At 38.0% G+C, this 16,669-nt stretch overlaps 1 protein-coding gene across 46 annotated transcripts in view, besides 2 other annotated features; it reads right to left on the reverse strand.

Moving 5' to 3' along the window:
* The window catches only part of TCF4 (transcription factor 4), a 413,773-nt gene that overhangs the window by 23,355 nt on the left and 373,749 nt on the right, over positions 1-16,669 (reverse strand). For 38 of the 46 annotated variants that reach the window (NM_001243226.3, NM_001369584.1, NM_001369576.1 and 35 more), the window contains 4 exons: positions 15,927-15,994; positions 14,410-14,488; positions 11,776-11,852; positions 8,958-9,161 (listed from right to left, as the gene is read on the reverse strand). In NM_001243226.3, the coding sequence (NP_001230155.2) occupies positions 8,958-9,161; positions 11,776-11,852; positions 14,410-14,488; positions 15,927-15,994 (428 nt within the window). Of the gene's footprint in view, positions 1-8,957; positions 9,162-11,775; positions 11,853-14,406; positions 14,489-15,926; positions 15,995-16,669 lie in introns of all 46 variants that reach the window. The other 8 variants (NM_001369577.1, NM_001243230.2, NM_001369579.1 and 5 more) reach the window with 2 other exon arrangements.
* Positions 4,064-4,113: an enhancer, noted in NCBI's record as "active region_13353". NCBI's record gives its function as "activates an Ori minimal core promoter by ATAC-STARR-seq in GM12878 lymphoblastoid cells {active_cell/tissue: GM12878}" and the evidence as "EXISTENCE:reporter gene assay evidence [ECO:0000049][PMID:35858748]".
* Positions 4,124-4,183: an enhancer, noted in NCBI's record as "active region_13354". NCBI's record gives its function as "activates an Ori minimal core promoter by ATAC-STARR-seq in GM12878 lymphoblastoid cells {active_cell/tissue: GM12878}" and the evidence as "EXISTENCE:reporter gene assay evidence [ECO:0000049][PMID:35858748]".

The raw sequence follows: 16,669 nt of genomic DNA on the forward strand, positions 1-16,669 counted from the left end.
GCTGTGGAGGGGCTTTTCACCCAATGCAGCCCTGGCTGGCAAGCTGCAAGGACTGGTATCATCAGGCAGTTTTCTTACTTCCATTTAGGTGCATGAGCCTTTATTTTCTGTTTTTGGTTTTAAATCATGTTTATTATATGGCTCTGAAACGCCTTTTCTATCCTGTCTCTAATTGTTGAAATTCTATGTGGACTCGAATATGAGCTCAATGGCATCTTCTCCGGGAAGCTTTTCCTAGCGGTCTGAATTGCTCCTTAGGTCATTTCATAATTCTACCTTGCATTATAGTTAGACCCATATTTGTATTATCACTCTACCAGGATAAAAGGCCTGTAAGATCAGATACTTTCTTTTACACGTTTATGCATCCCCAAAAGCATCTGAAGCACAGCAGATGCAGAAAGAGTGAATGAACATATGTATATTTTCTAATATATACAATATATACTTTTCCCTCCAGAAAATCTGCTTTCCTGAGAAAATAAGGGTAATATTGCATTTTTTTAAATGCACAGTTGTGCCTATTCCAAATTATGGATAGTTTAAGATTATGTCCCTGTAACAGTTCATTTAAAAAATGATGATCACTGTGCTATTAAATGTGTCTGCCTGCCTTTTCCTCCACAATTTAAGAAGAAAACCATGTAAGGATGTAAGAATATGATGAGGTTATAGGGTCTATTTTAAATACACGTGTGTGTGTGTGTGTGTGTGTGTGTGTGTATCTTTTATATTTTAAAACTGGGAAAGACAAGGTTTTTGTCTTTGATTTATTTAAAATTCATGGCTCCAAGATGCTAAACACCAGAGAACTAGGATTTGTTTGTCCTAGGTGCAGAGAGAGCAGGGTTTTGAGGTAAACATCCAATGCCAGACTGTTTCAACATCATAGAGTCTGAATTTGAGTAAAATATGTATTCATGTGGAGAGAAGGGGAAATACCTAAGGTGGCCAACCATGTTCACATATGGGCATGCACAGTGTCCTCATCACTTTTCTTAGGGGCTGCTGAATAGAGCTTAAAGGATCTTACTTCTATTGCTGTTTTCAAAATCTTTTGACTTTTCTTTAAATTAATATAGAAATATCAAATGGTAAGCTCAAGGATTCTCAGCTGTTATCACTCATCCATGGCTAAAAGAATTTCTTCAAGTTCTTTTACCTTTCTGTCCTTTTTTTTTTCAGTTTTAAAAAAATAAAGTATGATATTGATAAAGTTCAAAACTTTCGGTTGAGGTTGCTAATCTGCTCTCCGAAATACTTGATAGTTGTGGAGATTAGGAGAGATGACAGAACACTAGAGAAGGCAAATATCCTAATTTAAAGAAAAACAAGATAGTAGCTATTGAAAGATGATGTTGACCACCAATAGCTTGGGTGAAATTCTGTAACAGGGTATTTAGAAAATAGTTTTGAAAGTGCTCTGAAACACAGGAATGGCCTCTCAAACTCAGTTTGGTTCCACCAGAGCAAGGCATTCTGGACAAGCCTCATTTCCTGCTTCACAGTGAGTGCTGCATGCCCGGCTTCTGTGACAACGCTACGGACAAAATGAGCAAAGGTGGGCCATACGGTGTATAAGGAGGGAGACAGAACCAGCTGAGATTAAACTCAAAGGATAGAAGACAGCACTCGTGTAGAAAGAATGTCTGTAACACTGAGCCTCATGGCCTTCTGGTCAATCCCCTCCCCTGAAAATATTGTATTGGTGGCTTTGATGTGGGCATTAGTCACACCCATCACATTTGCCAGCAACAGAGATGGCAGAGTATGTGACTGAATGAGGGCTTCAGGGAAACCATTAAACAGGAATCAGACTGAGGCTACAACATAACATTCAATGGGGTTTCATGAAGTTTTGTACAGACACAACAAAAAGTACACAATGAGACTGGGGAGATAGGTGGCTTATGGATTTCAGTTGATTACAAATTGAATATATGTCAGCAGGACAATGAAAGCATCAAACATAGCAAAACAGGATATTGTTAGGTGGCCTTAATGAAGATACAAGGTACTGAATGGGGGAGGAGATAGATCCACCCTAGTCCACTTGATCCTTTCTTAAGCACTGTGTTCAGTTTGCGGTTCCACACACTAAAAGGTTCTTGTGGAGAAAAAGGCATCCTTGCTAAACTAGGGAGAATGCACTGGGAAGCAATGGAGTTCATGACAGGGAGTCCAAACTTTTTTTCAGGTTAAATATTTGAAGATAGTGATGTTTCGTCTAGAGGGAAAAAACACTCAGCAGACTGTCTTCAAATAACTGAGTTTCTCAAGTGCTTGTTGGACTTGATTTGTGGGCAATTCTATTGGGCAGAAACATAAGGACTGTAGAAAAAAGCAAATTTGGGCTGGACCTAGGAAGAACTTTCAAATATTTGATGAAAATGGACTTTGTGGGCATTTGGAGCTAGTCACCCTTGAAGGAAGGAGGCTGATCAAGACTTGTTGACTGCTTGGCAGGAAATCTGTAGGGAGATTTCAGTAGAGATAATCTCTTAAATTCCCTGAGAGTCCATGGGAATAACTGCTTAGAAATGAAGTATGCACTCAAATAGACACAGAACTTTATGGAATCAAAACCTGTGAAAGCCCAAGAGGAGCAACTGATAAATTGATAAAGATCAAAACTTTCAGTTGAGGTTACTAATCTGCTCTCCGAAATACCTGATAGTTGTGGAGATTAGGAGAGATGACAGAACACTAGAGAAGGCAAATATCCTAATTTAAAGAAAAACAAGATAGTAGCTATTAAAAGATGATGCTGACCACCAATAGCTTCGCTGAAATTCTGTAACAGGCTATTTAGAAAATAGTTTTCTATTTTATCAACTTTATCAACTGAAGATGCTGATGCCTCTGTTGATCATATCTTTGTTGAAGAGGCCCACATAGAAACAGAATCTTCTGACTCCTGCTGCTCCCATGACTATGTACCAATAACTGCCACATCACATCAATGCCCACTACCCTCTCTTTTTGCCAAATATTACTGGTAGAGCTAAATAGCAACTCATTGCAGGCAGCCTAGGGCCAACTACAGAGTTTTCTTGGATTTCATTAGTTAAGTCAGAGTAACAGAATGGTTTCTAATTTCTACCACTCACAGTTTTGAAATGGTTATGGTATTAGGGTAAAGAGGAAGTCGGCTGAGCAGTGTAGGATATAGCACAAGGAGTGCTGGTCTGCTTGCTGTTTTGTCTGGTTTCCTTTTTTGTGTGTGTGGCAGGGTCTCTCTGTCACCCAGGCTGGAGTGCAGTGGCACAATCTTGGCTCACTGCAACCTGTGCCTCCAGAGTTCAAGCAATTCTCCTGCCTCAGCCTCCTGAGTAGCTGGGATTACAGGTGTGCACCACCATGCCCGGCTAATTTTTGTATTTTTGGTAGAGACAGGGTTTCACCATGTTGGCCAGGCTGGCCTCGAACTCCTGACCTCGAGTGATCCACCCGCCTCGGCCTCCTAAATTGCTGGGATTACAGGGGTGAGCCACCGTGTCCAGCCTCTTTTGTCTGGTTTCTAATTCTACTAGTGAGTACCCATGGTTTGGTCACTTCCCCTTCCTAGGCCTTAGTCTTCAAAGAAGGGCAATGGGCTGATTTCCAGGGTACTTTTAGAATCTAAAATTCAGTGGTCTGAGCTCTTAACTATACAAGGAAAACTAACTGAAGTTGTTTGTCCTATGAAGCCCTAAGAGGTAAAAGTTCTCATGTATATAATGTCAGTTAAATAAAAAGATACCACTTTTCCTAAGGAATGCTCTTTTGATAGACTGCATTTAATCCAAAGTAAAACAAAAATTGTTACTGAAAAGAGGAAAACTGGGCAAAGATCCACTTTTATTGGTGATTTCTGAAATGGGTTCCACATCCCCCACCTGCAGGACTCTGAAGGGATGCTGTGGAGGACAGGTGTGTGGGGTGAGTTGCACATGACTCCCCCATCCCTAAGTCAACTGGAGATGACCACTCCTCTACTAAACAACCATGTGATCTTTCACTACTGGATAAGGGTCAGGCCCCTGGTCTTTTAGAGGGCATAGCAGACTGGCAGGGAGCAATCTGCTTAAGTACACATCTTTTCCTACTAGCCTGTGAATTCCTTGAGAGCACAGAACCTACACTTGGTAACCACGGATAAATGTTATTGAAATGAATAAATAGACTTTAAACAAGAAGGATCTGAGAGCTACACTAATGCGATATATGAATAGTAGAGGGGATTTTTAGCTCAATGATCACGTAGTTGCTGACTCTACCAACAAATAAACGGGAACACATAGAGTCACATAAAGACAAGTTTGATGTGGGTTTTGTTCTTAGTCAGTTAAAAAAGCGGTTAGGTCATTTGAAACGCTTCTTTTCAGGCCTCATCTGTGGATGTGAATACTGAATGAGTAACAGAGAGAATTCTATCTGGAAAATTGCCCTTTCCATAATTTATAAGAAATCTAATCATTTAATATCAGGATTAATCATGGAGGTCTCTGAGGCAGAGAGGGAATCATACTTGGTAAGAGTTTCTAACTAGGGTAGTGAAGACCTGGCTATTTCCTTATTCTCCCACATTCAGAGATTTCTGCTTTAATTTTGGAAGAAAAGTGGGTGGTTATAGTAAGAAAAATAACTTGATAACTTAAAATTTGCTACCTCAAGGACCCTGGTAGGGAGAGTTCACACCTCTTAGGCACTCAGCGCAAACATGTTGGTTTAAGAATAAGTGCATAGATAATGTGGGTTTTAATCCAAGCATGCCACCACTTTGGAGGGAAAGTTCTCTGTCTATACATTTGGGAAGAGAGCTGCTCTGGGAACCCAGCCATGGAATACCTGGAAACTTCTTTTGCCAACCAACACTTATCAAGTTTTGAAAATCACAAGCTCCTAGCATTTAAAATAAGTTCTGAAAAGGTGTTCTCATAGATAATCTCTGGAGAGTATGCCTGGTAGTAAAAAAGAGCATTGAATTTGGAGTTGATGTGCTTGAGTTTAAATCCCGCTGCAGGACTTGAGACTAACTGCTCAAACTTCTAAGGCTCACTTTACCGACACCTGAAATGACCACTATTATCATCCTCACTGGGCTGTTGTGAAGACTGCCTAAGACAACACATGCAGAGCGCCTAGCAGAGGGGCTGCCAACTCACACTCACAGAATGTTAAGTTTCCTCGTTTCTTTTCTCCCGTTTCTATGGATGATCTATTTACAGGGGTCGGGGGGAGAGAGACAAAATATAATATGTGAGACTCGAGGAATTTACAACAGTTGGTAAGGCAGAGTCATATCTATAAAAGATGCACAGCTATGCGGAGCTGGTTAAGATAAATATCTAGAAATGGTATGATTCATAGGGCTGTAAGAATAGAGAAAAAAATGGCTAGCATGAGTGGGGTAGCAAGGGAAGGCTTCCTGGAAGAAGAATGATTTGAGTCAGTGCTTTGAGAATGGGTGGGTATTAGGTGTACAGAGATAAGCAGATAGGGCTGGACAAGACAAAGAGATACAAAAGTTCCGAAGGAGAACATACAGGGTGAATTCTGGTAATATGCCCAGCCTTGTCTTGCTGGAAGACTTGTTGCAGATTGGAAGAGCTCAACATAAGGCTTTCGGTAAATGGTAATAGGCTTCAAATGCTGAGCTAAGGAATTGGTCTTTATCTTGTAGAAAATGGAAAGGCAGGGAAGGTTTTTGAGCAGGAAATAAGCATAGCTCAATAATATCATCCAGAGAGCTTGCAAGTATACAAACATTCGCTCTTGTGTTATGAGCCATGCCGCTGTGAAAAAAAAAAATCCCTTTCATTATACTAATACTTAGTAAATCACTGAAGACCTACTTCAGAACTCCAAGGAAAACATTTTATGAATCAAAAGCTAAGGACAATATGTTAGCAATTAAATGAGATAACATAACAGCCGAGGCAGAACCACAGTTTTCCCCACCACAACTTCAAGCTGCTGCAGAAAGAAATGCTTATATCACCTTCCAAGTTATCAAGCCATTTTGTTTTGATTTTTGGAAGGCAGGGAGAAAGGAAATGAGAAGCGTACGGAGGTCGAGAGGATTCAGAGCTGTCTACTCTTTAATCAGAAGGAATTACTGAGGAGAGTTAGAAAGGCGATGTGCTCAATACAAAACCGGGACTGGGATGAGTATCAAGTTACTGCAACTCGCTTCCGCCCAGAACAACAAACGAAGGTGTGTAGTTGGGAATGAGACTCTCACCAGTGCTCTCTGCTGAAGTTTCCGGTGCATACCTCCCACGGCTACTTTATTTACTGCAGCTGGCCAAAGTTTTATAGCCTGTTTCATGTATTAAAATTCAAATGTGGAAAACATTACCAGTATCCTCCTTGAATTTTTTTGTTGTTGTGGGGAAGGGGGATGAGGTTTTTTTTTTTTTTTTTTTGCCTTCCCCTTAAACTTCCTTTTTATTGTGGAATGTATCAAATGGTCAAAGGCTAACTTCAGACTGATTAAATTCAAAAACTATTTCCTTTGTTCTTATGTTTTTGTTTTAAAATTCATACCAGTTTGCACGGGAAAGATAGGCCAAACCAATCCTTTTCACACACATTAGTGTTTCAGGCTGAGGAGCTCAGATTCTGGGGACACGTTGAATGGTTTTCAGGAAGAAAGGAGAGAGACTGCAAAACCCCATTTGGTTCAAAGGGCAGCAGGGTGATGACATGCCATATCTTTGGAGTTACGCTATGATCTGCTTGGCTCTGTGGCTGTCCTTGATTGAATATTAAATGTCTTCAGAGGAGAAAACAGGAACTTATCCTTATCAGCAAAACTGGCGGCTTTATTGCTTTTGTGTGTGTGTGTGTGTGTGTGTATATCAAGATCAAATTAAAGGGGTTTCTATGTAATATTGGCTAATTATTTCCTTTTTTCTACCGTTCTATTCAGTCGTCTCACTTTCGGTTCTACTGAGGTCAGTCCAACTTCCCATCTCCAAAAATAATTCTAGTCTTTTCCTCCCATCCCACCTCTGAATCTGACTCAAAAAGGAGTCAATTCAAAGGTCAAATAGTCCCCAAAAGTATTTATGTATAGTTTAATATTTAAAAGAACCACTTAACCTACATATGGTATTTAAGAAAAACTTTACATATTTATGGAAAAAATAGTCTCTGAAGCAATGCCCTGGGTGCATGTTACATCCGTTTAACATATGCAAAATGAACACAGCTACAGAAATTAAACTATTTTTCTGTTGATTGAGAGCAGATATACAGAAATGGTTATAAGTCACAGATCTGGCTTTTAATAAAGCCAGATTTCTTAATTAAAAGCAGTATGTTTAAACATTGTAGTTAGAAAAAAAAGAGCTGTACAAACGAAAATCTCATATTATATGCATCCCAAGTGTATTTAACACATTACCTGAGGCCAAGCTAAATTAAAATCTAGACTTTTCTTTTGTAAACTCTAAGCAACTGCCATGAACATATAAACAATTTTTATTCAATGATGAATTTTTAGGGCAGAGGTCAAGGGAAAGAAAAAAAGATTTCTCTTTGGCATTCAAAAATATCTTTCCACATTTTAGATGTGAGTTCGTTGCTTCTATTTATAAACCAGTATTTTTGGTTTCAAATTGGTTGCAGATTTCAATACTACACCGTTCAGAATGGTACTCTTAATCTTAGACTTTTATTAAGAGAAACTGAAAGATGGACAGGAGAATACTACTGAGCAAGAACTTAAAAGAACCTCATAATAATTTGTATGTATTTTGCATTTCCTTTTGGGACCATGCTTAAACGAGAAATGCTACAGTGATAATGGAAAATATACCTTCATCCAAGCAACTTTTAGCGAGCCTGTAAGGGGCAAAATAGGACACTAAGGTGCTTAGAGACGAGGTAGAGCTTGTGAGGATCAGAACTACAGAGAATCACTGGTCAAGTTACATTCTCCACCACTCTGGTCACCTCATTAATTGTCATCACTTAATATTCTATTAAGAAGAGTCTCTGAATCTTCATAATCATCCTCAAAAAGAATTATCTCCAAAATCCTTTCAAAAGTAATGAGGAAAAAAATCACAATTGTAATATGGACAAATCTGCTTAAATATAATTCAAATAAAGACTTATTCTAAATAGGTAGTAGTAAAGCTACTCTATTAAATTACACAGTCACATGCAATGTATTTATACAAATAAACATACCATATATTTCTATCTCCCAGACTCAGAATTGACAGACACTATTTTGGCTTCTTTAATTAAAAAAAAAACACTAATATTTGAATTACTAGCAATGTCATATTATAATATGAACTCAAATTGTACACTTTGGCCAGGGTCACCAAAATGAATAATTTCAAACACCAACAATGACCCAGCAATTCATCCTCAAGGGAAACATGTGTCTGCACAAAAACTTAAACATGAATATTTATAGAAGCATTATTCATCATAGCCAAGGAGTTGGAACAACCCAACTGTGTAATGTGGTATGTCCATACAGTGAAATACTATTTGACAATAAAAATGAATAAAGCTCTAATACGTGGCAAACTGTAGAAAAACTGCAACAGTCATGCTAAGTAAAAGATGCCAGTCAAAAAAGACCACCACATGTTGTATGATTCCATATATTCAAAATATCCAGAATAGGTAAATCTATAGACATAGGAAGTAGACAAGTGGTTGCCAAGGGCTGGAAGTGGAGGGATGGGGAATGACTGCTTAATGGGCAACGGGGATTCTTTTCTTTTTGCAGGGGGCAAAAATATTCAAAACCTAGACTATGGTGATGGTTGCACAACCTTGTAAATACACTAAAACACTTGAATTGTACACCTGAAATGGGCTCATCGTATGTTAAGTGAATTATATCTCAATAAAGCTGATTTTTTAAAAAACAGCAACAATAGTATCTATATCTGAAATTCTAACTCTATATGATAACTATAGAGTCTATAAATTTCATCACTTACCATGAGTGAATGTCTGTTGGCTGAAAGAAGGCCGGTTCCATACCCTGAGCCCAGACCACCCATGGCTCCATTATGAGAAGGTCCAATGATTCCATGCATGTCCCCATGACCACCAGGCATAGCTGTGGATGGGCCCACTGCATGGTTCCGGAGAACATGAATAGCATCATCCAGTCTTTCTAAACGATCTTCAATTCGGCTTTGCTGTTGGTTAACAAATGATGTAAAATTTGATTTAGTTCAAAAGGGGTGCCTAAATTATACAAGTAAAATTTTAGTCGACAAAAAACACACTGTGTTTCTAAATACATGTTTCCAATAAAATGTATTTCCTTAAAACAATAATACAAATAGTGTTGTTTCCAGAAAACTGGTAGAACGTGTTAATGTTAAAATTATAGTGTTATTTTTCATGAACAAACTAAATTCAATAATTATTCCAGGACATTATAACATACATGTGCTATATACGGTACTGCCTTTTGAAAGGCAATTTAAATTTATTTTAGAAGAGAAAAACATTCACTGAATTTAAGGAACTTTCTGGCAGGTATTAAGTTAAAGAGTTTTAAACAATTACCACTGGAAAGATGACCTATTTATAGTTTCTTAATTAAATTCTTTTCCTGAAGGTATATTTCTTTGGTCTTCCCTGTGGTATATGACCCAGTGCTAAGTACCAAATCAGAGACAGGGAAAAGCAAATGGATGATAATTTCTTGTTGAGTTTTTACCGGTGTTTCTGGCTTCCTGTCATCAAAACCAGTGGGTGTGTGGTGGTATGCGTGTAAGGGCCTCAAAATGGTTACAGAAAAAAATTATATAAATTCTGTCAACTAAAGTAGTATAAGATTTTAAGACTGAAGAATCACAAACACTTGAATCAACTGTTCACTGGGGGCATCTAACTGAGTTCAAAGCCCCAACTATAGCATAGAATTCGCAACTTTAAACCATTAAAAACCAACCAACCTTTGTTCATCCTTGCCATTAGGATTCTAGTTTTTCACAACTAGACAATGCGTATAGTTTTTAGTGAAGAAAATGTATGTATTCATTTTAAAGGTATGTATTCATTTTAAAAACTGATCAATAATGATATCAAATACCACTCTCCAGTGTACACTTTAAAATATACCATCTCATTGATCCTTGTTTCACGTGTGTATGGGCAGGCAGGGAAGACATTATGATTCCTTCCGTACAGACATGAAAATGAGGCTCAAAGACACAAAGTGAATTAGTTACGTAGTGTCACACTGCTAGGAAATGGTAAAGTCAGAGTTGGAATCTAGGTCTTTTTATTTTAAATCTAGTGACTCTTTGCACTAGATCATGCTACAATTGACTTTGATTTTGAATCGGCTGTGCAAACAAGTGTACCAGCTCTATTGCATGAGAAAAAACATTTCTATTTTATACTGACAGGAAGAATGTGTGTCTAATATAGTAGTCTATGGTACAGAACATTCTGATTTGGTGGGTTTGGGAGTTAAACTACCTCCCCTAGACTGCTAGCTTTGCTACGTATTTGGCCTTGGAAAAGTTACTAAACCTCTTGGAGTGCATGCTTTCTAATTTATAAATATGGGAATGATAATACATACTTACTTCTGAGTGTAAATGTATGCAGGAAAAGAAATCATACATGTGCCTATCACAGTTTCTGGCTCACAGCTTCCTGGTAGAGACAGCAGTTTCTGCTTGTAAATCTCTTCTTCAGTGTTCAGAATTCAAACAGAATGGAAGCTGTGGCCCATAACTATACACCCCGTCTTTACAGTTCTATAGTTGGACGAAGCCTGGTTTTGATGAATAGGCCCCAGAGAATAACTGATGAAGGTAAACACTAAAACAACTAATTATGTGGATGTGGTCCGCAGATTAATTGGGCTGGGTAGTGCATATATGTTTCACTGTCTGGTTTCCTTTACTGGTTAAAATGCATAGCTGAATGATTCATACACTATAGCAAGGAAGAACACAGCAAAGGAGGGAAATCCACCTTTGCTTTTCTTTTCAGATTTTCCTTAAGATTAAGCTGAAAGGGAAGAATATAAGACAACACTAAAGCAGATAGATAAATCTATGTCTTCTTCCATGTGTCATCTCAAGATAGGAGGGAGAAAAGAAAACCTCAACCCCGAGGAACTAAAAGGCTCCTCTCCCTTACTGCTATTCCTTCCCGCTAAATTCATGTACAGCCTAAATGCTGCACAACCAGCATTGTTTCCTGCATATTTCTGGCCCCCACCATCATGAGGAGAGAAAGACTGAAGTGTCAGACACTGAATCATCATGTGAGTATTTATAATAATTAACTACATCCATGGAAATTTTCAGCAATTCACTCCTGGAAGAGTAGGCATTTCTCTACCACGAAGGATACCACTGGGTTTCTACGAGAAGGAAAGCTCCTGTAAACCTGTTATTCTGGAAAGTAAAGCAGAGGTAGAGGGAATCAAATGTTCCAGGTATAGGACCTGGCTGGAGTTCCAGCACTCTGATAGCAGGAAAGTGATTTAATCATTGACAGGGATCTTTCCTAGAGATGGGGAGAAGGCCATTGCCCTTCCAGGATTTTATCTGCTACTAGATATTTAGAGCCCTGGGGCTGCCATTACAGTAGTATCTGGGTTCCCATCTCCAAATAGGAGCAAGCATAGGCTAATGACTCTGGCTCCCGCAAACCTGTGTGCTTAATGCTGACTTAAAGTTACTAACAGGGAAAATCAAAATCTTGGAGAGTAAAGGAGACTGAACAAGAAAGAACATGACCTGAAAATGGGTGGGACAGAGATTAGCAAATGAGACATACCAAAGAGTGTAAGGGTCCTTCATAATTAGGAGACGATGAGGCCTGTCCTCCATTTCTAGACCAAACAGCTGTGCCTGCTGATATTAAAGTGGGAATTACAATCAGATCTAGACACATGTAAAAAGACGCTTGCCAATATTTTAAACAGTCCTTTTGGAAATGGCAATGGCAATGATGATTTTCATTTAAACAACAACGTAAATACATGTAAACTTCCCATATAAGAATTTTGGGACAAGGAAAACATTTTAAATGTAAAATATGTAGACTTTACATAGACTCACAATTCCCCCAGGCTGGCTGTCTCCTAAAAGAGAACATTTAATTGATTCTGAATTTTGGTAAGAAGGGTTCCTGTGGAAGAAAAACTATCACCATGGAATCAAGGTACTTTTAAGGGTACAAAAATGGGATTTTGTTAGACCTTCATGCAAGGCTAGTTTATGTTAAACCAAAATTCTCGCACCAGTGGAAAACAGCTTTGCCACTTGTTTTTAAAACAATCTTTAGAAAAAGATAAATCTTGAAAAACTTTTTAAGGGAATAAGATTAGTTATCAGTGATCCACTAAGCCAGAAATTTAAAGTCAATATACAGCAATGACTAAAAGTTTCTTCTGAAGAAAATAATTTTTTTATGATTCATTAAACTTGAAGGTAAAAAAAGATTGCTGTTAGAATACATATTACATGTCTAACCTACAAAATAAAAAACACTTTAAATGTAAAATAATACACATTCAGTGTAGAAAACTTGGAAAATACATAATTCAAAAAAGGAAAAAATAATAGCTATGATCTCACTGAAATCTCATGCCCCGACACTGTTAGCACTTTTAAAATCCACTCTTCCTGTCTTTTCTGGGTGTGCATGTATATTTTTATGCTAAATAAAAATAGAATATTTTGTTCAATTACTTTTCTTGACAGAATTTGGACAGAGCCGTCGGTGTGAAAATAGCAATCTGTCCCCATATTTGCATCTTCATAAAAGTTCTTTCTTCCTAACATGTGGTCTTCCATGATGCATTACCAAGACCCAAAAAGTGGCATCTCTAGCCTTGTTTCTGTGCCTTTCACTGAGATCATGCTACTCAGGTCGAGGGAATTTGTGATGTTTTCTAGAATGACTGTGCATCCTAATTTTTCTTTCCCACCATTAATCTAGAAATGGATGGCAGAACTGTGAGCACCAGATTTTTGTCCAAGCTCTGCTATTACCACTGGTAATAAACTCAACAACTCAACTCCCTTTTTGGGACTCAGTATTCTCATCTGTAAAATCAGGGTATCAGACTACATTAGTCGTTCTCAAACATTATGATACCATAGAACATTTCTTTTTCTAAATTAGAAAATGAATAAAATGAAAGCTACTTTGTTTGAAATGTGGAAACTGGAGTTCCACCTGCTCAGATTCCTCTATCCCTTGTTGTATCTCTTGTTGTCTCGAAAGGGGGTTACTGACAATTGAAATCATTTTTCAGAGTGTAAGAATCTGGTACAGAACCCGAGGAGTACAACAATACTGAACTCTAGTTTCTATTTCCACCAGGGGGAACGTTTGATTATCCTCTTAAAATCACCTCAATCGCTTCCCAGTTTCAACGCGGTCTCTCTGGACATAGAGACTTCAGAATCCCACTGCCCTCTCTATTCTGTGATCTTCTCATACCACGGAGGCTTGGAAGAGGTTGACATTAAATCCCAGCTAAGCCATGGCCATCATTTCTGAAAGTTTTGTGGCAATGTGAAACCTCCTGTCCTCGACCAAGGAGCTGAGTTTACACTGGGCCATGAGAGCTGCATGCAGGAAATAACAAACGCAAGTAACTCCACTATAAATTACAGTAAGGTAAGGTTTCCATCAGGTACAGATGTGATTTAGGTTTTGTTGCTGTTGTTTTGTTTTTTTAATAAGCCACCTGTCTCCTTACCAAAGAGCAGAGACATGAACCAAGGAAGGCTTTCTGGAAGCATTTATATTGGAAAGACAATGAGTCTCTTAAACGGACCCCTGAAAAGTGAAATTATTTACTGACATAATTCTACAAATTATAGTTATTCAATTTGAAGCCACAGGTCATACGAATGTATTATACTTTGAAGTCAAACATCCCTTCTACCCCACACAATTATTTCACAATTTATTTACAAAATTATAGTTTTCTCTAAACATCCCAATGGCATGTACTTTAAAGAGGGAATTTGGAAAGCCTGAAATTCCTGCAGGAAATGATCCATTTAAATAGTCTATATTTGATGACTATCTAGTCTATATTCATATTCATGACTATATTAACTGAGTTTTTTTCATCTGAGACGTTTTATTGGAATACATTATTCTGCCGTTGGGTGTCTTCTGCAGAGCTAAGAAAAGTGTAAGAAATACATTTTCCATATGCCTGTATATTTTAAAAAGATAATCTAATTTTTAAGAAAAGGTTTGGATGTAAACGACTATACTGTTATCTGGTAATTTGTCTCTCCCACCCTTTGTATTTGTCTGTTATAGGAATGTTAAAGCTTTGGGATTTGGGGGGAAGTGAGTTTCCACCTACAAAATCAGGAAGTACAAGGGGGGAATCATTCTTATAAACTGTTATATGATGAAATGGGATTTGAAATACACTACCTGAGAGAGATGGAGGAGAGCCAACAGGAGTTGAAGGGTTTGATGAAAAGCTGTTGTTAGTGTGATCTGGAGAATAGATCTTAAAACAATAAGGAGAAAAAAAAAACACCCTCATTCATTAAAATAATTCACACTTTTCTAAACTACGAAGTTGTCAACGCAATTCATTTAGAACTTACAAGTTACAGCATACATGTAATAATCAACTACAGTACCAAAATTGTCAAATGAAGAACTTAACAATTATTTTAATTTTTCAAAACAAGAATTACTGATGTGGTATGGGATGGTGGGAAAAGAGCCAGGCTGGGGTCAGCAGACTTCAAACCAACTCTTCGTTCCTACTGGCTGTGTGGCTATGGGCAAGCCAAGCAGATACTTTGAACTTTCCTTTCCTCATCTACACAATGAGAGGTTGAACAGGATCATTCCTAAGATATTTTGCCACTCTTTTGCCAGATCTAGGCGTTTGATTGCATAGCATCAGAAGGCCCAGATGAAACAAAAACTTTTACTTAGGGCACAATGCTAATACAGTGTGAACTTTTTTAATGCTCTCAATGGTAAAAGCCAACTGAAGAGACAAAATCTTAGAGAAAGAAATCTCCACTTACATTTATTTATTTATTTGATGGAGTCTTGCTCTGTCACCCAAGTTGGAGTGCAGTGGCATGATCTCAGCTCACTGCAACCTCTACCTCCCAGGTTCAAGCGATTCTCCTGCCTCAGTCTCCGGAGTAGCTGGGATTACAGGCATGTGCCACCCATGCCTAGTTAATTTTCATGTTTTTAGTAGTGACAGGGCTTCACCGTGTTGGCCAGGCTAGTCTTGAACTCCTGACCTCAAGTGATCCTCCCACCTCGGCCTCCCAAAGTGCTGAGATTACCAGTGTGAGCCACACTACCTGGCCCTCCACTTACATTTCTAAATGACCATGTTTAGCTTTTGACTAAAATACCAGATATACTCTCTGAGACAATGAAGGTATGCCATTTTGTCATCAGGGAACATGCAAGAAATGTTCAATTTTAGCTTTCTGGCAGTAGGTGGGCAAAGCAGAGAAGCTGAGTCCCCCAGGTGCCAATTATGTGACAGTTCTTCATGGACCTCAGTTATTGTCTTTTTTTTTTTTTTTTTTTTTCAAATGCCTCTTTCAAAGTGTTTTAGAACTATTCCTTGCTAAGACAGTCTTAGCTGGTCAATGTGCACCCATATTACTTTAGAGAAAAATAAGACATCAGTATAAAAAACCTATAAACCCAAAGACCAGGAGAATATTCCCACATCCATAATTGAGTGCAGCTTAGTACCATTTTGAGGATGAGAGAAAGAGACTATATACTGGAAGCTTCAGAGCCTTCTCAAATTTTCCAGTGACTGTTATGCAAGAAAGCTAGCATTTTCCAAAAATCAAAGCTATTTGCCATTCATTTTCTAAAATTCCAAATGTCCACTTCTGATTAAAGTTCACCCTTTACAATGGTACATATGGAGTCCAAAGTCAATATTTCCTCACCGAAGCAAGTGCTTTCCCCAGAGCATCTCCAGTCTGGGAGCTGCCGGCTGCCCCGCTTCCTCTATTTGCTGCAAAAACAAAAGGCAGAATATGAAAACCAGGCAGTGAGACGTCTAACAATTTTCTATTCCTGGTCCATTTACTCACAATTTAATTGCATTTTTAATGCTAATTACAACACATTAATCTTTAATTAGCATTAATTTGTTTGCTGAGGTAGATGTCAAATATATTCATGTTACTTTTTTACAGATAAAATATAAACCTGACACCTTGGTTTAAAGATAAAGTGGTTTCCTTGCTATGACTTTCCCCTTGCTGTTGATGAGCTGGTGAATGTAGCAAGCTATGTGACGGTCATTGCTGACAAGTATAGACTACTTTCAGGTCTCTGGAGTCCTCAGAGTCTGGCTTTTCTTTATATTATTTTATAGTAAATGGAATTATCTTCACAAATAACTTCCATCTGTTTTCAAATAAATAGAAATTTGATACATAGCAAAACGGGGTATTCGTCTCACAGTCCTACAGTACACCAAACAAACAAACAAAAATTTCCACAACAGGTCTGGCTAACAAGGAGAGAAAATATTTTTAATGTTTTAAATAACATATATTCTCCACATATTTAAAAGTCTGTGTTCACACTAAAAAAAGTGAACTGGTATGCTACTAAAAGTCAATATGGCCTCGAATTCCAGAGATAAAGTAAGTCTACATATTCATGAAGCTTATCTCTACTG

This window comes from Homo sapiens, chromosome 18, assembly GCF_000001405.40.
Source record: "Homo sapiens chromosome 18, GRCh38.p14 Primary Assembly".
In the NCBI taxonomy this organism is placed as follows: domain Eukaryota; kingdom Metazoa; phylum Chordata; class Mammalia; order Primates; family Hominidae; genus Homo; species Homo sapiens.